The sequence below is a fragment of the Homo sapiens genome, chromosome 14, assembly GCF_000001405.40.
Source record: "Homo sapiens chromosome 14, GRCh38.p14 Primary Assembly".
NCBI classification, from domain to species: domain Eukaryota; kingdom Metazoa; phylum Chordata; class Mammalia; order Primates; family Hominidae; genus Homo; species Homo sapiens.
Genome location: NC_000014.9, coordinates 67,675,043 through 67,697,420, shown reverse-complemented (window position 1 = coordinate 67,697,420; position 22,378 = coordinate 67,675,043). Strand labels below are relative to the sequence as shown.

Below are 22,378 nucleotides of genomic sequence, written 5' to 3'. Positions count from 1 at the left end.
GCTTTCTCTGACTGTGAACCCTCAGGTGGGGTCTTTCCTCTGCTCAGCACACTCTTGTCTATGTTGCTTGCCTACTAACTTCCCTCTGGCCTCCGCTCAAATGTTATTTCCTCAAATAAGCCTCTCCTGATCTAGAACTCCTCTCCCTTGTAAAAGCTCCCAGAGCTTTCTCTAATCCTCCTCATAACCTTCACCATGATTTATTTACAGTGATTACTTATTTAAGGTCTTCTCTGACAGTCCATGAACTCCGGGCGAGCAGAGATTATGTGTTCCTGGCTTCCTGCTGGACATCAGCACAGTGCCTAGTACACTATAGGAATGCCATAAATGTTTGTCAAATGCGTGAATGACTGAATAAGGAACAAAACAAATGAAAGGCTTTTATAAAGTTATAAAACCCAATACAAATATTAGGTAACACAATAATGAGAATGTGACAAAATGTGATGATTGCTAGGTAATCTAATGTTAAATTGGTAGGAATTAGTATTGTGTGAAGGAAACCCTCTCTTCTCCAATTTGCTATAAAATATATTAGTTCATTGGAACCCGTGTCTTTTAACCAAATGGAAATTATGCAAAAGGACCAGAAAATATTACTGGGTACAATTAAGGAATCACAGACAGATATTGATTGGTTAAAACACCCTCCACTTTCACCCCCAGGAAATAGGCCTCAGATGAAAGAAACTATTGAACAGGGAACCTATTTATTCACAGAGAACATATTCATGGCCTTAATTCAAGACAGGATTAAATACTTTCACGAGTTGGCAAAACCAACTGTGCCAATCTGAGATATTCATTGCTACCCTGGGAGTTAATGTATGTGACCCAAGCCATCAGGAAGACGATATTCTATTATCAATGAACACTCAAACACTAGAAAAATCATGATAGTTGCCACCATAATTCAAGATAGACACAATAAAGTGATTCTCCTGAGAATGTCTTCAAGGACTTATTGCTTCCTCTTCTCTGGAAAAAGGAATCCTCGAGGAGGAAGGGTTTACATTCCCCCACCTTCCCAACTGTCAGACTTCGGACCGCTCCTCTCCTGTCTAATCCGCCTTTCATTTCCCAGACGCCAACATCTGATCTCCAGGAGAAACAGTGCGGTAACTGCCTAACCAGGATTGGGGAAAACTGAACCAGGCACTGGACTTGGGTCTGGGGAGATAGAGGACTGCAGAGATTTCACAAACACCGCGGTGCCTAGTACACTATAGGAATAAGTGTACTATTCCTATAGTGTATACTTTTTTTTTTCCAGAAAAATCCCTCTGGGGTATGAGCACTATTTTCAGTTCTGGTTCAACTTTTCATTGAGATTCTATGTGGATAAGAGGATCTTGTAGTGAAAAAAAGATAAAAAGCAGTGTTTTCATCTGAGTGTGAGAAACCATGTGTGCCTAGAGGTGGGAGAACTGAGTATTCAGAAGGCAGAAAAAATAACTGAGAGCTGGGTGAATGATCCCACAGGCCCTAAGCCCTAGATGGTTGGGGATTAGCGATGTATAATTCAACTTCTGCCAGCGTTGGCGGCAGCGCTCCCACGTAGCCAGCCTGAGGCTGTCAAGCTCTGGACTACATTTCCCAGAAGGTCTGCTCCCCGGGCTGTCGCAATTTGAATTGGGGCGTGTCTAGAAAGAGAAGCCATAGTCGGCGAGCAACGCTGGAGCATCCCGCTCTGGTGCCGCTGCAGCCGGCAGAGATGGTTGAGCTCATGTTCCCGCTGTTGCTCCTCCTTCTGCCCTTCCTTCTGTATATGGCTGCGCCCCAAATCAGGTCTGTGCAAATGTATTGCCTTCTCTTGAGAATTCTTGTTGCGGGGCGGGAGGGAAACATAGAATCCCCACCAAAGCTTTCTTGGAAAACTCCCCTGGGGGGGCTCCAAGATGGCGGAGCCCAGAGTTCGGTGGGTTGGAGGCGAGGTCCAGCTGTCCTGGGTGCCAGGAGGACACCCGAGACCCCAGGCGGTGAGAAAGGGCGGCAGTCCGGGGCACACTGCTTTTCCCTGGCCTGTTTTTCTTTTGTCTAAGCACCCCCTGATTCTGGCTCCAGGGAATCCCGAGGGTAAGGCTACCTCAAACGCTTGAGTTTCGGACTCTTCAATGGGATATGGCCCGACGCTGTTTTCCCCTTATTCCCCACGCCTTAAACCAGCCTTCGAGGTACAAAGGAGCGATTCCACATTTCGCCCTCTGAAACTGATAGCAATCGTAACATCTGCGGCCCCATCCTTGCTCTCTCGTTGCTGTTACAATCGCTTGTTCTGTGGGCGGATGTTGTAAAGGAGAAAAGTGAAAAGGAAGAGTGTTTGGTTATGAGCTCTATCCTGCCTTGCGAGCAGGAGCACGGGGGATCTGAGTTAGGAGCTAGGGTACTGGGGCGGTGAGGGCTGGGAGAATGGTGGGAAGGTATTGACCAGGTGATAGATCAATCAGCCCAAGGCTGGCCAAGTGCCCCAGTGAATCAGCAGCGGGCTGTAAAACCGGCAGCCTGCTTATTGGTTCTAAGTAAATCACCAGTGGTGACGGACCAGTGACTGAATAGACAGACACACTCCTTCCCCAGGTGGGCGGTCTTAGTCCCAATAGAACTTGAAGCCAGGCCAGATCACAGTCATTTCTTACCACAGTCACCTACTTTCCTTCTTTTATTTTTATTTTCTCTTCCTTCTCTGGTGCCCCTCTTCCAGTTATATTTTTTCTGCCTTCTGAACACTCAGTTCTCCCACCTCTAGGCACACATGGTTTCTCACACTCAGATGAAAACACTGCTTTTTATCTTTTTTTCACTACAAGATCCTCTTATCCACATAGAATCTCAATGAAAAGTTGAACCAGAACTGAAAATAGTGCTCATACCCCAGAGGGATTTTTCTGGAAAAAAAAAAAATATATGTGTGTATATATATATATATATGTGTGTGTGTGTATATATATATATGTGTGTGTGTGTGTATATATATATATATATATATTCCAGGAGCTGTATTCCCAACTCAGCAGGGTTATGGGAGTCGGGCCAGAGCTGGACTTTTATAGTTGTCTCTTTCATTCCTGCTGGTTAAGGAGAAGAAAGAACTAAGTACAGGTCCTACTAAGTTGTCACTCCTGGAGCTACATACAGTAAGGGGATGTGGGAAACAGCCTAGAGGCTTGTTTTCTGAGGAGGGAGGTGATGGTTTGTGGGGACCATGAGTTAATCTGCCTCCCTGTCAGCATTTTCGCACTATGCAGGTAGCTTCAATGGCTAAGAGTATGTACCTTGCAATTCCAAGTTCAATGAAAAAGGCTGAAATGCTCTTTAAGAATGCATCTCCTGGTCAACAGATTGTTTTAACCAGAGTCCCAACATTGCCAAGAAGAGAATAGGCCAGTCTGAGAACCACCAATCTGTGTTTGTGCATTCATTCATTTGGAAAAGGCAATATAGTATAGTACTTAGAAACAAGCACTCTAGGCTGGGCTTGGTGACTCACACCTGTAATCCCAGCACTTTGGGAGGCTGAGGTGGGCGGATCACCTGAGGTCAGGAGTTCGAGACCATCCTGGCCAGCGTGGTGAAACCCTGTCTCTACTAAAAATACAAAAATTAGCTGGGCGTGGTGGCGCATGGGTGAGGGGGTGAGGGATGAGAATCGCTTGAACCTGGGAGATGGGGGTTGCAGTGGAGGTGGAGGTTGCAGTGAGCCGAGATCACACCATTGCACTCCAGCCTGGGCAACAAGAGCAAAACTCTGTCTCAAAAAAAAAAAAAAGAGAAAGAGAAAGAAAGAAACAAGGACTCTAATTACACAAAGCAAGACTTGAATCCCAGCTCCCCTTTGTACATACATAATCTTCTCTTTGTTTTAAGTGTGTATGTGCATGCGTGTGGGTGTGTTTTTTTTTTCTTGTTTATTTTGTCCCAGAGTCACAAGCTTTCATAATTTTAACTTTTTGTATTGGATTAGCCATTTCTCAAGGCCATAAAATGCCAGTTGTGGACAGATTGACCTACAGAAACTAGTTATTTCTTCTTCTGGGCTGAATCTTGTGATTTCCTAAGTCACAAGTGCCTTAGAGAGCTCAAACCAAAGCCAGGTGCCTGGCTAAGCAGGTATTCATCCAGTTCTTGTGCTGCAGAGAACAGCTGTAAGCTTTGCCCTTGTAATAGAATCACTTTTGTCTTTGAGCAAAAGCAGAAAACTTTTGTCATCTTTCCTCCAACTTTCCTTAAATGGACACTGTTTCCTTAAAAGGACAACAGTGGAAAGAACTAAAGCAAACCTCAGCCAGAAGACACAGGGAGTTGCAGGAACCTACTGGCTGAGACAGTAGAATGAAGAATTGATGAGCTCTCCTTCTCTGTCTGCAGGAAAATGCTGTCCAGTGGGGTGTGTACATCAACTGTTCAGCTTCCTGGGAAAGTAGTTGTGGTCACAGGAGCTAATACAGGTATCGGGAAGGAGACAGCCAAAGAGCTGGCTCAGAGAGGCAAGTTCACCTCCTTTCAATTCCCTCCTATTACTGCTGTTTTACCCCTCACAGTAATGATGATTCATTCTCATTGTTTCTTCCCAGTTTTGGAATTCAAGAACACCTAAGGATTCCACTGATTTGCTGATCTGAAACTAGTACTATGCTCTACATATAATGGACCCTTAATGAATATTATTAATTTATTTTTCTTTACCTATTTGCTAATCAGATACCTCTGTTGTGAAGAAAGGGTAAAAATGTGTGTTTTTTAAAAAAATGTTGGAAATAACATTAGATTTATAATGCCAGCTCAAAAACAGAGCTGACCATTTCTCTTTCATATGTTGGCTGACAGGAGCTCGAGTATATTTAGCTTGCCGGGATGTGGAAAAGGGGGAATTGGTGGCCAAAGAGATCCAGACCACGACAGGGAACCAGCAGGTGTTGGTGCGGAAACTGGACCTGTCTGATACTAAGTCTATTCGAGCTTTTGCTAAGGGCTTCTTAGCTGGTAAGTGTAGAACTAGAGAGACTATGTTGTGGGTCTTGAGGTCAACATGGCAGATTCAACTAAAAGGAAAAGGTCCCTCTTCCTCATAGAAGTGGTGGATAAAATATAGCCAAAAACTTCTGTAGCTGAACTCATAGTCACTGGGACACAATTTATGTCAAAGGGATATCTTCCAGAGGCAGAAACAAAAAATGAATTCAAAACGTCATAGCAGTGAGTAAGAGCTGAAGCCAGAAATCTCATGGGAGTCTCAGCACTCAGTACAGGCTTTTTAGGGTCTGGGGTCTAAATACTTACACAGGGATAGGAGATGAGGCCACAGGCCTTTGAGAGCTGGAGCTGTATTTGAGGTTCTACACAAAGTTGAGATTCACAAAGGGCCATCTGGTCCATAGTATAGAAGCTAATAAAAATCCTGGCCACCAGCTCAGAGACATGACAAAGAAGTTTACCATCTCTTTAGACATAGATGGATACTTACCTGCAAAAAATTAGAACCCGAGCTGGCATCATGTGTGGGGTCTGAATTCGTACCACCAAATGATATGAGGATATTTATGGGTTTGATTTTTGTATGTGTGTGTAATACTCTATGGAAAATTAACGTAAAAACCTGTAGTGTCTCATCAAAAGCAAATCCAAGAGCACTCTATAGGCATATCCCCTTATAGCCCAGGGATCTAGGCCTCCAAGGAAAAAGCTTTCACTGGTGTGAACTCATAGTCATAAATTACAAACCACATGAGGAAATGAACCATGAGAGAGAATTGGAAGATGCAATAAAGAGGTGAAGCCAGTATTTATTTCTTTGGGGACCTGAATCCCAGGGCAGAGGTACATAGAGAACATTCTTTTTTCTCTTGCTTTGGAATCTTTCCATTCAGCTTGGGAAGTCTTTTTATTGAGAGAGGTGGATGCAACAATTCCCAAAAGCAGTGAGTAAGTAGCTCCTGAACTACAAGGATCTGGAAGGTCATTTGGTAGTATAAAATGGAATTCTGCCCCATAGTAAAAGTAGGTGGGATTCAACTAAAGTCTTAAAATGAAAAACAATAGAAAATAAATATGAAGGAAAAATGGAGGGAAGATTGAAGTCCTGCATCCTCATTTTCAAAGCCTGAGCGTGAGGCAGCTTTCTAAGATGTAATAGCCTTGGCTAGCCACTTCCACGCTCCATCGTCTTGTCCCTGCAGAGGAAAAGCACCTCCACGTTTTGATCAACAATGCAGGAGTGATGATGTGTCCGTACTCGAAGACAGCAGATGGCTTTGAGATGCACATAGGAGTCAACCACTTGGGTAAGAAATCTGGCCTTATCACAAAGCTAGAGAGACCCAAAATTCTCTTTGGGAAACTTAGGGGTCAGATTGAGGCTTCTTGTTGTGTGATTGAACCTCAGGACCATAATAGACCATGTGTGCATAATAGTTTGGTCCTACCTGATAGCTGAGGAATACCTGAGGGCTGCTCCAGGTTCTGCCCGCTTTTTAATCTGTGATTTAGATTTGGTTTGCCTTGGCGCATTTTTTAACAGACTAATTGGTTTAGGGGACTGTGTTGCTTTCTTAGTAGTGATCCTTGTGGCCAGCATCAGGTATAGGTCATCTGCTCTTTTTTTGTAAAGACAGGGTCTTGCTATGTTGCCCAGGCTGTACTTAAACTCCTGGCCTCAGGCACCTTCCTGCCTCAGCCTCTTTAAGTGCTGAGATTACCGGCGTGAGCCACCGCACCCAGCCAACCAGCTCTTAAGAATGAGATTAACCAAAGTAGGAATGAGCTGGGACTTCATATTCACATAGTCTAGACCTATCTCGCTCATATAAGGATGCCTCATGTCTTTGGCTGTTGTTATTTCCCTAAACCTTCATTAAACTTGTTTTCTAGTTGATAATGAAAAGTTGGAGGGAAAGACCTTATTTCTGAATTATCTGCCTCCCATAGGTGAGGCCTGCTCACCACGACTCCTGTCATTCCTACATGGCCCTGAACTTCATTAATTCTAGTATTTCTCAACAGGTCACTTCCTCCTAACCCATCTGCTGCTAGAGAAACTAAAGGAATCAGCCCCATCAAGGATAGTAAATGTGTCTTCCCTCGCACATCACCTGGGAAGGATCCACTTCCATAACCTGCAGGGCGAGAAATTCTACAATGCAGGCCTGGCCTACTGTCACAGCAAGCTAGCCAACATCCTCTTCACCCAGGAACTGGCCCGGAGACTAAAAGGTGGGCCTAGAGGAAATGAATGTGGAGACATGAGTCAGAGAGAGGCAGGTAAAAGCCACAGGAATGGAAACTGTTTCCAGAGCCCATCACCTGGAGAGGACCTGCTTCCGTGGCTATAATTGGGTACAGTTTTAGTAAGTAGTCTACAACTGAATATTGGAGGTGGCTGGCTGGGACAGTGAGACTCTGACTTTGAGTCTGAAGGCCTGGCTTTACTACTTACTAGCTGTGTGATCTATAGCAAGTTACTTAACTTTTTTTTTTTTTGAGACGGGATCTTGCTCTGTCACCCATGCTGGAGTGCAATGGTGCAATCTCGGCTCACTGCCGACCTCCACTTCCCAGGTTCAAGTGATTCTCCTGCCTCAGCCTCCTGAGTAGCTGGGACTACAGGTGCGTGCCACCAGGCCTGGCTAATTTTTGTATTTTTAGTAGAGACAGGATTTCACCATGTTGGTCAGGGTGGTCTTGAACTCGTGACCTCAGGTGATCCACCCACCTTGGCCTCCCAGAGTGCTGGGATTTTAGGTGTGAGCCACCGCACCTGGCCATTACTTAACTTTTAGGACTTCCTTCTTCATATGTAAATGGGACTACTTCACAGTTTATTGTCATAATTAATTCAGGCTTCATAAGCAAGTCAAGATTTTTTACTCACAGTGAGACTGAGTATGAGGGAAGGACCTGAACTGGCACTAGATAAAGGCAGTAGACTAAAACAGGTACTGGGAATATGGAGGGGCAGGGTCTCCCTTGCAAAGCATCAAATAAGAGGGAAATATATGCTTGAGAAGGGGAATTTCCAGTCACAAATACACAGAGGTCCTTAGCACTGTCTACTCTGGATTTCTAATAAAGAGAAGGGAAATCGAGGGTGAACTGTGCTAGGAATTGAGGCAGGCAGAATGCAGGCTCAAGGAATCAGGCACAGGTGCCCTATAGTTGGAATAGGATCATCCTACCAAATGAACATCTGTGAGATGGGAAGGAAACTGGTGGTTAGCTCAGTCCTTATGCCCAGTCTGTGCCCAGGGCATGACATCTTTTATCAGTTTAGGATAGATAAGGGTAACTGGATGGTGAAAACTATCCAAAGAGTTGATCAGGGAGCTAGGGTGGCCTGGAGGTGGAAAGATGGGTCCAGTGGTGAGAATTCACTAATACATGAATGAGGTGACTCTGATAGTTGTGAGGATTCAGTGGAAAATCATTATGGTGCAGTAAAAGAACCCTGGTTTGACAGAAGATTCATTCATTCAGCCATTCAGCAGACACGTATTCAGTGCCCATGTTGTTCCGTGCACTGGGTTAGGGGACAGGGGATGAATTGGTGAACAAGATAGGTATAGTCTCTTCTTTGGTTTGGTTTACATCTAACGGGGGAGAAAGACAATTAGCAAGTCTTTATACAAACTATTAAATGTAAAATCAGTCTAGTAATGCATGAATAATTCTCATTGTAAAAAGCTCAAATAAGGTCAGGCACAGTGGCTCACACCTTTAATCCCAGGCACTTTAGGAGGCCAAAACCGGAGGATCACTTGAGGCCAGTTCAAGATCAGCCTGGGCAAAATAGTGAGACCTCATCTCCTCTACCAAAAAAAAAAAAAAAAGAGTTCAAAGCATATGGAAGTATGTAGAATTAAGGTGAAAAACCACCTTCATTTATTCCCCTCTTCCCCCTGCTCTTCTCCCTTCATATGACCATTATCAACAGCTTGTGTGCCCCTTTCCAATAATTTTCCTATGCATTTACATATGTATGTATCATGCACAAGGAACTGAAACTCCAACACAGTATCTTGGAGATCTTTCCATTTAGTACATATGGATTTACCCCTTAATTGTATTGGCTGTGTTGTATTTCGTAGTATAGATGTGCCTTAGTGTATTTATGTATTTCCTTAACAACATCTGGATTGTTTCCTTTTTGTTGTGGCTGTTTAATTATAATTGTGATAAATGTTATAAAGGAGAAGTACCAGGACTTACAATGGATTTTAGTGGGAGTCTTGGGGGGACCTTATTCAGTCTGAGGGTTCAGGGAAGACTTTCCTGAAGAAGTGAGTTGCATGCTGAGCCCCGAAGGATGATTAGAAATTAAATGGATTAGAGGTACTGATAGAATGTGGAGGCTGAGGCCGGGCGCGGTGGCTCACACCTGTAATCCCAGCACTTTGGGAGGCCGAGGCTGGTGGATCACCTGAGGTCAGGAGTTCGAGAACATCCTGGCCAACTTGGTGAAAGCCCTGTCTCTACTAAAAATACAAAAATTAGCCAGGTGTGGTGGCGGGCGCCTGTAATCCTAGCTACTGGAGAGGCTGAGGCAGGAGAATCGCCTGAACCTGGGACAGAGTTTGCAGTGAGCCAAGATCATGCCATTGCACTCCAGCCTGGGCGTCACGAGTAAAACTCTGTCTGAAAAAATGAAAAAAAAAAAGGGCCGGACGTGGTGGCTCATGCTTGTAATCCCAGCAATTTGGGAGGCTGAGGTGGGTAGATCACCTGAGGTCAGGAGTTCAAGACCAGCCTGACCAACATGGAGAAACCCCATCTCTACTAAAAATACAAAATTAGCCGGGCATGTTGGCGTGTGCCTGTAGTCCCAGCTGCTCAGGAGGCTGAGGCAGGAGAATTGCTTGAACCTGGGAGGCAGAGGTTGTGGTGAGCTGAGATCATACCATTGCACCCCAGCCTGGGCAAACAAGAGTGAAACTCCATCTCAAAAAAAAAAAAAAAAAAAAGGAATATGGAGGCTGAGAAACATTCCAGGCAGAAGGAGGAGAATGTACAAAGGTCCGGGCTCAGTTTGAGAAACAGCGAAGGTTACCATTGGTAGGTTGTAGAAAGCAAGAGTAATAAAGATCTGAGCTGAGACTGGTGAGGTAGGTAGATGCCAAACCCTTAGAGGCCACAGTAAGGATTTTAGTGTTTATTCTAAGAGCAATGGGAAACGGTTAAAATTAAAGCCTTTTCAAAATGGGGGCAAGAGGGGTTGCAGCAGTTGATTTCATCAGCAGAGGTGAGAAATGAGGGTAGTTTGGACTAGGTGGTGGAATTGGAGGGTAGTAGAAACTTCTGAGAGAGATTTGGTTTGGGAAAGCTTGTTGACTGGAGATGCATGCTTTAGGTGGGCATTCATCAGAACCCTTTTGCCTGATTGGGCATGTCGGGAACACTGCAAGAACCAGGTTTGGCTTTAAAAGTAGAAATCAATTTGGGACCTCTGAGTCTGCATTACTATGGGTCATCTAGGGAGATGTCGAGTAGGCAGTTGGGAATAATACAGCTGTGTCTGCAGCTGTCAGTCCACAAAGACCAGAAAAATTCTGTTTCTTCAAAGCTTTACACCAAAACTCATTTGGCAGCAAAACATTTCCTGTACTAGGGAGATTAGATTAATAGGCAGTGTATGTATACATTTCATATTACCTTTCTACAATCAGAGAAAAAAATTGAAGTATGTCTGGCCCCAGCGTTTTCCATAAAGGATTGGGGGCCTGAAATAGCATGTGCAAAAGTATCATTTAGCACTTACCATGCATCAGGCACTTTTTTTTTTTTTTTTTTTTTGCACCGGTGTCTCACTCTGTCGCCCAGGCTGGAGTGCAGTGGCACGATATCGGCTCACTACAACCTCTGTCTCCCTGGTTCAAGTCATTCTCCTGCCTCAGCCTCCCAAGTAGCTGGGATTACAGGTGCACGCCACCATGCCCGGCCAATTTTTTCTATTTTAGTAGAGACGGGGTTTCACTGTGTTGCCCAGGCTGGTCTATAACTCCTGAGCTCAGGCAGTCCACCTGCCTTGGCCTCCCAAAATGCTAGGCTTATAGGTGTGAGCCACCACGCCCAGCTGCATCAGGCACTCTTTTAAGACCTTTAACATATATGAACTCATTTAATCCTCATAACTACCCTGTGAGGTTGTAAGTATTATGATTATTCCCATTTTAGAGATGAAGAAATGAGTCACAAAAGGGAACTTGCCCAAGGTTACACAGCTAATGAGTGGAGCCAGGATTTGAAACTGGGCAGTCTGTCTACAAAATCCATGCCCATAACCACCACATTGTGTTGACTCCCAGTGTGTCTGCAGTTCAGAGGAGCAGTTTGGACTGTGGACAAAATGTGAGCACCATAGAATTATGGAGAGGGAGTCTGGTGAGCCACGAGAACTCCAACATTTAATGTTTGTGTAGAAGATGATGAACTGGTCCAGAAAACTGAGACAGAGCAGCCAGAAAGGTTAGGAAAACCAGAAGTGGCATAGGCTTATGGAAGCCAGTGAAAAAGAAGACTTTAAGAAGGGGATGGGCGCCTGTAATCCCAGCACTTTGGGAGGCCGAGGTGGGCAGATCACTTGAAGTCAGGAGTTCAAGACCAGTCTGGCCAACATGATGAAATCCCGTCTCCACTAAAAATACAAAAATTAGCCTGGTGTGGTGGCGCACCCCTGTAGTCCCAGCTACTTGGGAGGCTGAGGCAGGAGAATCGCTTGAACCTGGAAGGCAGTGGCAGAAGGAAGATCATGCCACTGCACTCCAGCCTGGGCAACACAGCAAGCCTGTCTCAAAAAAATGAAGGGGATGGGGTGGGTGTGGTGGCTCATGCCTGTAATCCTAATACTTTGGGAGGCCAAGGTGGGAAGATTGTTTGATGCCAGGAGTTCAAGACCAGCCTGGTCAACATAGGGAGACCCCATCTCTAAAAAAGAAGGGGGTGGTCAACGATGTTAAGTGCTGCTGAGAGGATGAGTCTTGGCTCTGCTGATTCCTGACTTGAGTTTCCAGTCAGAAATACACAGAGGTCCTTAGCACTGTCTACTCTAGAGCCTTCTTAGATCTGTGAGATGGAAGTATAAATTACTGTGAGCAGTACTTCTGATGTCACCATGGGCAAAAGAGTCCATATGTGAAGGTCACATGCTTATTTACATCCTTTTCTGTTTTGGGCTATTCTGCAAAATCAAGTCCTGTCTTACCCTCTCTTCATGCCACCCCCAACCAGGCTCTGGCGTTACGACGTATTCTGTACACCCTGGCACAGTCCAATCTGAACTGGTTCGGCACTCATCTTTCATGAGATGGATGTGGTGGCTTTTCTCCTTTTTCATCAAGACTCCTCAGCAGGGAGCCCAGACCAGCCTGCACTGTGCCTTAACAGAAGGTCTTGAGATTCTAAGTGGGAATCATTTCAGGTATGAATGTTATCTCTTTTTGCAGATGAGATTTATTGCTCAAAGGAGATAATTTGGGTTTGTCTGGGTATACCCTTTTTTAAAAGTACATTGTCTCATATAGCTTTTGTCTTTTAACTCTAGAGTTTTTACCTTTTAGTAGGGGAATTTGACTCTCTTTTGTAATAACTGCTACATTTGATTTTATGCCATCTTTTATACTGATAATTATGCATTCTGTTTGTTTTCTTCCTGTCTTTGTTATGTCAGTCCAGTTTTCTTTATTCTTTTTTGGATTCCTAATTCTATTGTTTTACATTAAAAAGAATTTAAAAAGAATTTGAGGCCAGGCGCAGTGGCTTACGCCTGTAATCTCAGCACTTTGGGAGGCCAAGGTGGGCAGATCACCTAAGGTCAGGTGAAACTCCGCCTCAAAAAAAAAAAAAAAGAATTTGAATCTGCATTTCTCTATTGTCCTCAGGATTGAAATACTATGGACTCCCCTCTCAAATAAGCGAAGACATTTAAAATGATTTAAATGTAGAGAATTTTGAATATAACACAGGGTTAGATAAAATAGTGCACTGAGCCTGCATATAATGGAGCCTCAGCTACCATTAACCCATGGCCAATTCTGCCCTATCCCCATTCTCTACCCCTTTCCATATTTTTCTTCTCCCATATTATTTTGAAGCAAATCCCAGGCATCACATAAGATCAAAATTTTAACATGTTTTTACCTCTACTTCAGGTTATTGTTGAAATGACCTGAAATTTTAAGGAAGTAGCTGAAAATAGCATTAAGATTGGAAAGAAAGGCAGACAGATTATGAGAGGCCTATAATGCCAGCCTTGTGGAGGAGCCCCAGAGTTGTTTCAGTAGACAGACAAAATCTGGTCTGTGCTTTAGCAACTTTGTTTCATGAATGAATAATTAACCTAGTGAGAGAGAGAGTTTCAGAAAGTTGTAATGAAAGGAATGGTAATGTGAAAGAGGCCCTGAAGCAGCAGAATTTTTATCACTGGATGATTAATTAAATGAGGGGATGAGGGAGGCTTTGCTAACCTGAATTTCAAGCCTGAATGAGGTTGATGATGACATTAACTAAGACAGCAGACATGGAAAAGTAATGTGTGGAACTTAGGGTTCTTGGATTCCAAAGCAGTTGAAAGGGACTTTGTCTAGCTTAAGCAAGAAGGAAATTTATTAAAATATTAGTAGGGAGAGGAGGGACCCCTAGGTTGAAAGGGAAGACTGAAGAGCCAGGCTAAGAAGTGTCAGAGTGGCAGTCAGCCAGCCGGGGCATTGCTGCTAGAGTGAGCGAATGCCAGCTATCTTTAGTGTTTAGGTTGTATTGCTTATCATCCATTCTCTAGGGAGGAAGCATTGGATCTCCTTCCTCCTATCCCTTCATTTTTACTCTTTTGATTAGAGGCAAACAGGGACTTTATTAATGCTCTCTTCAAACTATATTGAGGGGAAAAGGTGATTCTGCAGAAGGAAATCAGGTTGCTATTGCCGAAACAAAGTAGAATGTTCAGCCAAAGAGTAACAGTTGTCCACTGTGTAACAAACCTGGCTCTGTACATGTTGCATGTGTGTTATCTATAAGGCATGCAAGTAGAAATGTATAGCAGATAGTTGGAAATGTGGTTCTGAAGTATAAGAAGATAGATTTATATAGTATACTGGATTGATTTTCCAAGAGTGACTGGATTCTTCTTCCCTAGAGATTTTAAGAAAAAAAAAAATAACCCTTTATCTTGGTTTTGACTGAGTGGTTTAAAGAAAGTCAGCTCTAAATCCATAACTTACTATTGGATTGACTTTTGAAGAGCCTTTCCTGTGCTATGGATTCTTAATTCATTTTGAAGATCCAACAGCAGCCGTGTAGACCACCATCAAGAAATGAACATAAAAGTCTTTTGATTGAAGCCTTAAGATTTTTGCACTGGCTCTTCTTTCTGCCTGCAACCACTAGTCTGCTTTATGTCTCTAAGAATTTGCCTTTACTGGACATTTCATATAAATGGAATCATATGGTATGTGGCCTTTTGTGACTGACTTCTTTTACTCAGCTTAATGTTATCAAGGGTCATCCATGCTAAAGCATGTGTCAGTACTTCATTTCTTTTTATTGCTGGATAACATTTCATTGTATAGATTTGCCACATCTTATTTATTCATTCATCAGGTGATGGGCATTTGGGTTTGCACTTTTTAGCTATTTGAATAATACTGCTGTGACCATTTGTGTAGAAATTTTTGTGTGGACATTTCTCTTGGGTACATGGAAGTGGAATTTCTGGGTTATATGGTAACTGTGTTTAACTGCTGAGGAACTGCCAAACTTTTCCAAAATGACTGCCCCATTTTACATTCCCACCAGCAGTCTATGAGTATTCTAATTTCTTCACATCCTCAGCAACACTTGTTATTGTCTCTCCTTTTGAGTTTAGCCATCCTAGTGAGTATGAAGGAATATCTTGTTTTTATTTTCATTTCATTTTCCTACTAATGATGTTGAACATTCTTTCATGCGCTTTTTGGTTCATTTGTTTCTTTGTTGGGGAAATGTCTATCAAGTCCTTTGCCCATTTTTAAGTTGGATAATTGTCTTTTTATTGTTGAGTTACAAGAGTTCTTAATAGTCTAGATGCGAGTTCCTTGTCAGATATATAATTTGCAAATATTCTCTCATTCTGTGGGTTGTCTTTTAACTTTCTTAATGGTATCTTTTGAAATGTAAAACTTAAATTTTGATGAAGTCCAGTTTATCTATTTTTTGTCACTTGTGCAGTCATATCTAAGAAATCATTGCCTTACCCAAGGTCACAAAGATTTACTACTGTCTTTAGTAAAGACAGTTTTCTGTTACTAAACAGAATACCACAGACTGGGTAATTTCTAAAGAAATTTACTTAGCTCATGGTTCCGGAGGCTGAGAAGTCTAAGAACATGGTGCCTGGCATTTGGTTAGGGCCTTCTTGCTGTGTCATAATATGGCAGAGGGCATCACATGGTGAGAGGGCAAGCAAGAACAAACCCACTCCCATGATAGTGACATTAATCCAGGTATGAGGGCAAAGCTTTTATTAATTAATCTGTTCATGAAGGCAGAGGGACTAAGTTTCCAACATGTGATTTTTTAAGGGATACATTCAAACTATAGCAACCCCTATGTTTTCTTCTAATAGTCTTATAGTTGTAGCATTACATAGGTCTGTGATCTGTTTTGAACTATTTTTATTTTATTTTATAATTATTATTTTTTTGAGACGGAATCTTGCTCTGTGACCCAGGCTGCTCACTGCAACCTCCGCCTCCTGGGTTCAAGCAATTCTCCTGTCTCAGCCTCCCGAGTAGCTGGGACTACAGGTGCACACCACCATGCCTGGCTAATTTTTGTATTTTTAGTAGAGATGGGGTTTTGCCACGTAGGTCAGGCTGGTCTCCAACTCCTGACTTCAAGTGATCCCCCTCCTCGGCCTCCCAAAGTGCTGGGATTATAGGCATGAGCCACCACACCCGGCCTTGAACTAATTTTTGTATATGATATGAGGTAGGGGTCAACCTTCATTCTTTTGCATGTGGATATCCAGTGCCTTAGCACCATTTGTTGAAAAGACAGTTTTCTACCCATTGAATTGTCTTGGTATCTGTATTAGTCTGTTAAGGCTGCCATAGCAGAATCCCACAGACTGGGTGGCTTAAACAATATAAATTTATTTTCTCACACTTCTGGAGACTGAAAGTCCAAGATCAAGGTGCTGGCCTGGTTGGTCTCTGGTGAGGCCTGCCTTCCTGACTTCCAAATGGATGCCTTCTCTCTGAGCCCTCGCATGGCCTTTCCTCTATGTACACACACTCCTGGTGTCTCTTCCTCTTTTTATAAGGCCCTGTTGGATTAGGGCCCCGCCCTGATGACCTCATTTAACCTTAGTTACCTCCTTAAAGGCCCTCTCTCTAAATACAGTCACACTGGGGGTTAGGGATTCAACATATTAATTTTGGGGGAACACAATTGGAGTATAACAGTAAGCTTGTCAAAAATCAATTGACCATAAATATAAGGGTTTATGTTTCACTTTTCTGTTCCGTTCATTTGTATGTCTGTCCTTATGCCAGTATCACACTATCTTGATTACTATAGCATTGTAGTAAGTTTTGAAATTAGTTTATCTTTTACCTATACTAATTCTTAGCAAAATCCCCCTGGAAATGTCAATACTGTGACCATGCTGATGCCATAGGCACACTTAACTAGCTCTTACTTGGCTGGGCGCGGCGGCTCACGCCTGTAATCCCTGCACTTTGGGAGGCTGAGGTGGGCAAACTACTTGAGCCCAGGAGTTCAAGACCAGCCTAGGCAACATAATGAGACCCCATCTCTATAAAAAATGCAAAAATTAGCCAGGCGTGGTGGCGTGTCCCTGTGGTCCTGGCTACTTGGGAGGCTGAGATAGGAGGATCACCTGAGCCTGGGGAGGTTGTAGTGAGCTGCGATCACACCACTGCACTCCAGCCTGGGCAACAGTGAGACCCTGTCTAAAAAAAACAACCAGAAAGCTCTTGCTGTAGTATTTGATTAGTTTTTATAGCCTACAAGGAACCTTCATGTCAACTGTGTTCTTTGCTCTTAACTGTAACCTTATGAAGAGTATAAGGCACAGTGCAGTGGAGGATGCAGAGGCTTACAAAGGCTGAGTCATTTCCAGAGAGATACAGAGCCTTGTGGTTCTCACTGATGATCTTTTCACTAGGAAATGGCAAGTTGTACTGGTCATACTGGTGAGTCTTCTTAAACAGAAGTACTGATAAGACTTGTTTTGTAAACGTGACGATATTTTGAAATGGTATTTCTCAAACTTTAGTGTGTTCAAGAGTCATCTGGAAAACTAGTTGAAAATAGATTCCTGGACCACAACCCTAGAGATTCTCATTCAGTATGTCTGGAGTAGGGCTGGAGAATTTCTAACAAGCTCCCAGTTGATGCTCCTGCTGCTGGTTTGTGGTGCACACTTTGAATCCCACTGTCTTACTTGACATAGTGTTAAGAGTTTGCATATATAGTTAATTCAGACTTGTCAACTCTTTCACCTTCAGAATTTGCTTAGATACTGAGGAAGCAATTTTCTTGAAATAGTATACTTTTAAAAATTGTTTCCTCACATGACTAAAGATTGTAATACATTCAATCATTTTTTTTAAAACTTTGACTGAATGCTTACCAGATGTATACCAGATCCAGAGAATACAAAAATGAGTCAGAATTGTCCTTAAGAAAATTTTCTGCATCGGAATTATAAAATTATAAAACTTGGAATTACAGGCTGGGTGCAGTGGCTCATGCCTGTAATCCCAGCACTTTGGGAGGCCGAGGCAGGTGGATCACTTGAGGTCAGGAGTTCGAGACCAGCCTGGCCAACATGGCAAAACCCTGTCTCTACTAAAAATACAAAAATTAGCCAGTCATGGTGGCAGGCGCCTATAATCCCAGCTACTCTGGAGGCTGAGGCAGGAGAATTGCTCAAACCTGGGAGGCGGAGGTTGCAGTGAGCTGAGATCGCATCACTGCACTCCAGCCTGGGCGACAGAGTGAGACTCCGCCTCCAAAAAAAAAAAAAAAACTTGGAATTAATTACAGCAATGAAGAGAGGGTATATGAAACACTTTGCTATGATTTGAATGTGTCCCTCAAGGTTCATATGTTGGAAACTTAAGCCTCAATACAACAGTATAGAGAGGCAGGGCCTTTAAGAGGTAAATTAGGTCACAAGGGCAGCCCTCATGAATGGTTTAATGCCATTATCTCTGGAACGGGTTCATTATCTTGGGAGTGGTTCCTTATTAAAGGATGACTTGTGTCCCCTTCCCTCTCTTGCCCATGTCATGCCTTCCATCTTGTTATTACACAGCAAGAAGGCCTTCATCAGATGCCAGCCCCTTGATCTTGGACTTCTCAGCTTCCATAATCATAAGCCAGTTTCTGTATGCTCATTATAGTTACCCAGTTTGTCGTATTCTGTTACAGTACCACAAAATGGACCAAGACACCTCGTACCTTGGTTTTACCATTTCTTTTCTGTGTCGCCTTTTCCTTTTGTTGTTTTCGAAGCTGGCTTTACTTCTCATATGAGTTTACTAACAGTATAACTTCAAGGAGTCCAGAAATAAGCATTTCTTTTTTTTTTTTACTACTCCAGGCATCTCTGACCAATGTGAATAGCAGGATCTCAGCTATATGACATTGTCCAAGGCTCTGTAGAATGGGCCTTATGGACTTACTTGAAGAAGATGGATATACATGGGTGTCAGGCAGGCACTAATATTAAATTATATAAATAGGGGAATATAAAGACCAAATGTATGCATTATATATCAAACAAAGCATTCTGATGAGAGGTGGTCTAGCGAGGAGATCTAAAATGGTAATTACATTTTCTCTGGCTAAGGACTGGAGAATGAAGAGATAAGGACAAACACTGGCCCTGTGAAGTACATGGAGAACATGTGATCCCTAGTTGTTTTTATGTCATATTCCTTATCCCTGGCAGATGGCAGACTTCATTCTTAACACTGTGCTTCATACCTTTCTCTTTACCTTCCAGTGACTGTCATGTGGCATGGGTCTCTGCCCAAGCTCGTAATGAGACTATAGCAAGGCGGCTGTGGGACGTCAGTTGTGACCTGCTGGGCCTCCCAATAGACTAACAGGCAGTGCCAGTTGGACCCAAGAGAAGACTGCAGCAGACTACACAGTACTTCTTGTCAAAATGATTCTCCTTCAAGGTTTTCAAAACCTTTAGCACAAAGAGAGCAAAACCTTCCAGCCTTGCCTGCTTGGTGTCCAGTTAAAACTCAGTGTACTGCCAGATTCGTCTAAATGTCTGTCATGTCCAGATTTACTTTGCTTCTGTTACTGCCAGAGTTACTAGAGATATCATAATAGGATAAGAAGACCCTCATATGACCTGCACAGCTCATTTTCCTTCTGAAAGAAACTACTACCTAGGAGAATCTAAGCTATAGCAGGGATGATTTATGCAAATTTGAACTAGCTTCTTTGTTCACAATTCAGTTCCTCCCAACCAACCAGTCTTCACTTCAAGAGGGCCACACTGCAACCTCAGCTTAACATGAATAACAAAGACTGGCTCAGGAGCAGGGCTTGCCCAGGCATGGTGGATCACCGGAGGTCAGTAGTTCAAGACCAGCCTGGCCAACATGGTGAAACCCCACCTCTACTAAAAATTGTGTATATCTTTGTGTGTCTTCCTGTTTATGTGTGCCAAGGGAGTATTTTCACAAAGTTCAAAACAGCCACAATAATCAGAGATGGAGCAAACCAGTGCCATCCAGTCTTTATGCAAATGAAATGCTGCAAAGGGAAGCAGATTCTGTATATGTTGGTAACTACCCACCAAGAGCACATGGGTAGCAGGGAAGAAGTAAAAAAAGAGAAGGAGAATACTGGAAGATAATGCACAAAATGAAGGGACTAGTTAAGGATTAACTAGCCCTTTAAGGATTAACTAGTTAAGGATTAATAGCAAAAGATATTAAATATGCTAACATAGCTATGGAGGAATTGAGGGCAAGCACCCAGGACTGATGAGGTCTTAACAAAAACCAGTGTGGCAAAAAAAAAAAAAAAAAAAAAAAAAAAAATCCTAAAAACAAACAAACAAAAAAAACAATTCTTCATTCAGAAAAATTATCTTAGGGACTGATATTGGTAATTATGGTCAATTTAATAATATTTTGGGGCATTTCCTTACATTGTCTTGACAAGATTAAAATGTCTGTGCCAAAATTTTGTATTTTATTTGGAGACTTCTTATCAAAAGTAATGCTGCCAAAGGAAGTCTAAGGAATTAGTAGTGTTCCCATCACTTGTTTGGAGTGTGCTATTCTAAAAGATTTTGATTTCCTGGAATGACAATTATATTTTAACTTTGGTGGGGGAAAGAGTTATAGGACCACAGTCTTCACTTCTGATACTTGTAAATTAATCTTTTATTGCACTTGTTTTGACCATTAAGCTATATGTTTAGAAATGGTCATTTTACGGAAAAATTAGAAAAATTCTGATAATAGTGCAGAATAAATGAATTAATGTTTTACTTAATTTATATTGAACTGTCAATGACAAATAAAAATTCTTTTTGATTATTTTTTGTTTTCATTTACCAGAATAAAAACTAAGAATTAAAAGTTTGATTACAGTCAAAAGAAGAAAACACTGTTCATTATTATGGTTGTGCAATGATTTCTCATTCTAAAGAATAATTTGTTCCAGAGTCTAGCTACAGTGTAATCTCAATCCACATGCTATTAATTTAGGTTGTGTGATAATCTAATTGTTCATTCACCATTTCCTACTTAACCTTTTTTGACACTCTTCACAGACACTTTTTCCACATTTCTTGATCATCCCGGGCCATTTTTTTTTCCTTTCTTTTTAATTAGAGACAGCGTCTTGCTTTGTTGCCCAGGCTGGCCTCAAACTCTGGGCTCAAGCGATCCTCCCACCTTGGCCTCCCAAAGTGCTGGGGTACAGGTGTGAGCCGCAGCACCCGGCCCCAGGCTATTGATCCTTTTTTTGCACCTGCCCCTTATTTCTGTACTGTGACAAGTCCCAGCATTGTGCTGTGGGACTTACACAGTATACTGACTATCCTCAGACTTGGTCATGTCTATGCTCAGTGCATATTAAGAGCTTAACCAAAGTGTGTTGAATCAACAGCCAATGAACTTGATCTAATAAAAATGAGGGCCCAGGAGATACAAATTAGCAAAGCATTTTCTCCTGAGCAGTCATACATCTTTTAATATTTGTAGGCAGTTTAAAATTGAACTCCCAAGCAAACATTTGAGAACAGACACCTTGAGCAAACCGTGAAATCGGTGAAAATAATAATTTATTTTAATTTTTTGAGATAGGGTCTTCTCTGTCACCCAGGCTGGAGTGTGGTGGCACGATCTCAGCTCACTGCAACCACTGCCTCCCGGGTTCAGGCGATTCTCCTGCCTCAGCCTCCCGAGTAGCTGGGGTTACAGGCGCCCACCACCACGCTTGGCTAATTTTTGTGTTTTTAGCAGAGACGGGGGTTTCACCATGTTGGCCAGGCTGGTCTTGAACTCTTGACCTGAAGTGATCCGCCCGCCTCGGCCTCCCAAAGTGCTGGGATGACGCGTGAGCCACCATGCCCGACGTGAAGACAGGAATTTATACCCATGGAGTGCAAGAAGGGACCTTGTAATTTTTAACACGTGACACTTAGTGGCAGATGAGACCTAATGAAGCCAGGCCCACCTTCCACACCAGATTATAAATTCCCCTGGAGCAGAGATTAAATGTTTTATTCACCAACATGCCCAGATCCCTCGCAATGCCTACGCTTGACAAACACCTGTTGTCAACAAGTGCACGAGGCAGCCTAGGAGGAGAATTAGTCTCCACGAGGAGAATTACTCGGGCCTAGCAGCTAGAGTATTTCGAGGTCATCCTAACTGGGTTCCACTTTTGAATTTTTGGTTTTTGGGTTTTTTGTTTTTTTGGAGACAAGATCTCGCTCCACTTGGGAGCAAGGTCTCCCAAAGCTGGAGTGCAGTGGTGGGACCTCAGCCTCCGGGGGTAGCTGGGGCCAAAAGTGCGCGCCACCATGCCCGGTTCTTATTTTGGGTTTCTGGTAGAGCTCTCGCTATTGTGCCCAGGCTGGTCTCGAACTACTGGGTTCAAGCAATCCTCCCACCTCGGCCTCCCAAAGTACTGGGATTACAGGCGCGAGCCACTCGCCCGGCCGGGTTCCACTTCTGAAAGCTTGGGGAGCCGCTGGGCCTTCCAAGAAAAGTGCTCCACCTCCCGACGGCAGGCAGAGCCCCTGGCCCGGCTATCTTTCCAGGGCCGAAAGCTAACAGTCAAGACGCGAAACGAGGAATTCGGGTCAGGGTGGCAAAGCAAAGCGCGATGACAGTGAGGACGACGT

The 22,378-nt window shown here is 43.1% G+C and overlaps 2 protein-coding genes across 3 annotated transcripts in view, besides 6 other annotated features; one reads left to right on the top strand and one right to left on the bottom strand.

Moving 5' to 3' along the window:
• GPHN (gephyrin) overlaps nt 1-22,378 on the bottom strand; it is a 1,227,209-nt gene that overhangs the window by 37,935 nt on the left and 1,166,896 nt on the right. The window lies entirely within an intron of this gene.
• Nucleotides 1,340-1,389: an enhancer, noted in NCBI's record as "active region_8585". NCBI's record gives its function as "activates an Ori minimal core promoter by ATAC-STARR-seq in GM12878 lymphoblastoid cells {active_cell/tissue: GM12878}" and the evidence as "EXISTENCE:reporter gene assay evidence [ECO:0000049][PMID:35858748]".
• Nucleotides 1,410-1,459: an enhancer, noted in NCBI's record as "active region_8584". NCBI's record gives its function as "activates an Ori minimal core promoter by ATAC-STARR-seq in GM12878 lymphoblastoid cells {active_cell/tissue: GM12878}" and the evidence as "EXISTENCE:reporter gene assay evidence [ECO:0000049][PMID:35858748]".
• Nucleotides 1,504-2,140: an enhancer, noted in NCBI's record as "H3K27ac hESC enhancer chr14:68161998-68162634 (GRCh37/hg19 assembly coordinates)". NCBI's record gives its function as "activates a minimal SCP1, AML or CMV promoter by ChIP-STARR-seq in primed H9 embryonic stem cells {active_cell/tissue: H9 hESC(primed)}" and the evidence as "EXISTENCE:reporter gene assay evidence [ECO:0000049][PMID:30033119]".
• On the top strand, nt 1,657-20,621 carry RDH11 (retinol dehydrogenase 11). 2 transcript variants are annotated; one of them, NM_016026.4, is made up of 7 exons: nt 1,657-1,791; nt 4,369-4,487; nt 4,828-4,983; nt 6,177-6,281; nt 7,000-7,209; nt 12,217-12,406; nt 18,998-20,621. In NM_016026.4, exons 1-7 carry the CDS (start codon nt 1,718-1,720, stop codon nt 19,098-19,100), a joined length of 957 nt encoding a protein of 318 aa, NP_057110.3. In that variant the 5' UTR covers nt 1,657-1,717; the 3' UTR covers nt 19,101-20,621. The 2 variants fall into 2 exon arrangements, with proteins under 2 accessions (NP_057110.3, NP_001239579.1); NM_001252650.2 differs by lacking the exon at nt 7,000-7,209.
• Nucleotides 2,490-2,549: a silencer, noted in NCBI's record as "silent region_5866". NCBI's record gives its function as "represses an Ori minimal core promoter by ATAC-STARR-seq in GM12878 lymphoblastoid cells {active_cell/tissue: GM12878}" and the evidence as "EXISTENCE:reporter gene assay evidence [ECO:0000049][PMID:35858748]".
• Nucleotides 16,135-16,429: an enhancer, noted in NCBI's record as "tiled region #4541; K562 Activating DNase matched - State 5:Enh, and HepG2 Activating non-DNase unmatched - State 15:Elon". NCBI's record gives its function as "activates a minimal TATA promoter and a strong SV40 promoter by Sharpr-MPRA in K562 cells, with weaker activity in HepG2 cells {active_cell/tissue: K562 | HepG2}" and the evidence as "EXISTENCE:reporter gene assay evidence [ECO:0000049][PMID:27701403]".
• Nucleotides 17,011-17,110: a silencer, noted in NCBI's record as "silent region_5865". NCBI's record gives its function as "represses an Ori minimal core promoter by ATAC-STARR-seq in GM12878 lymphoblastoid cells {active_cell/tissue: GM12878}" and the evidence as "EXISTENCE:reporter gene assay evidence [ECO:0000049][PMID:35858748]".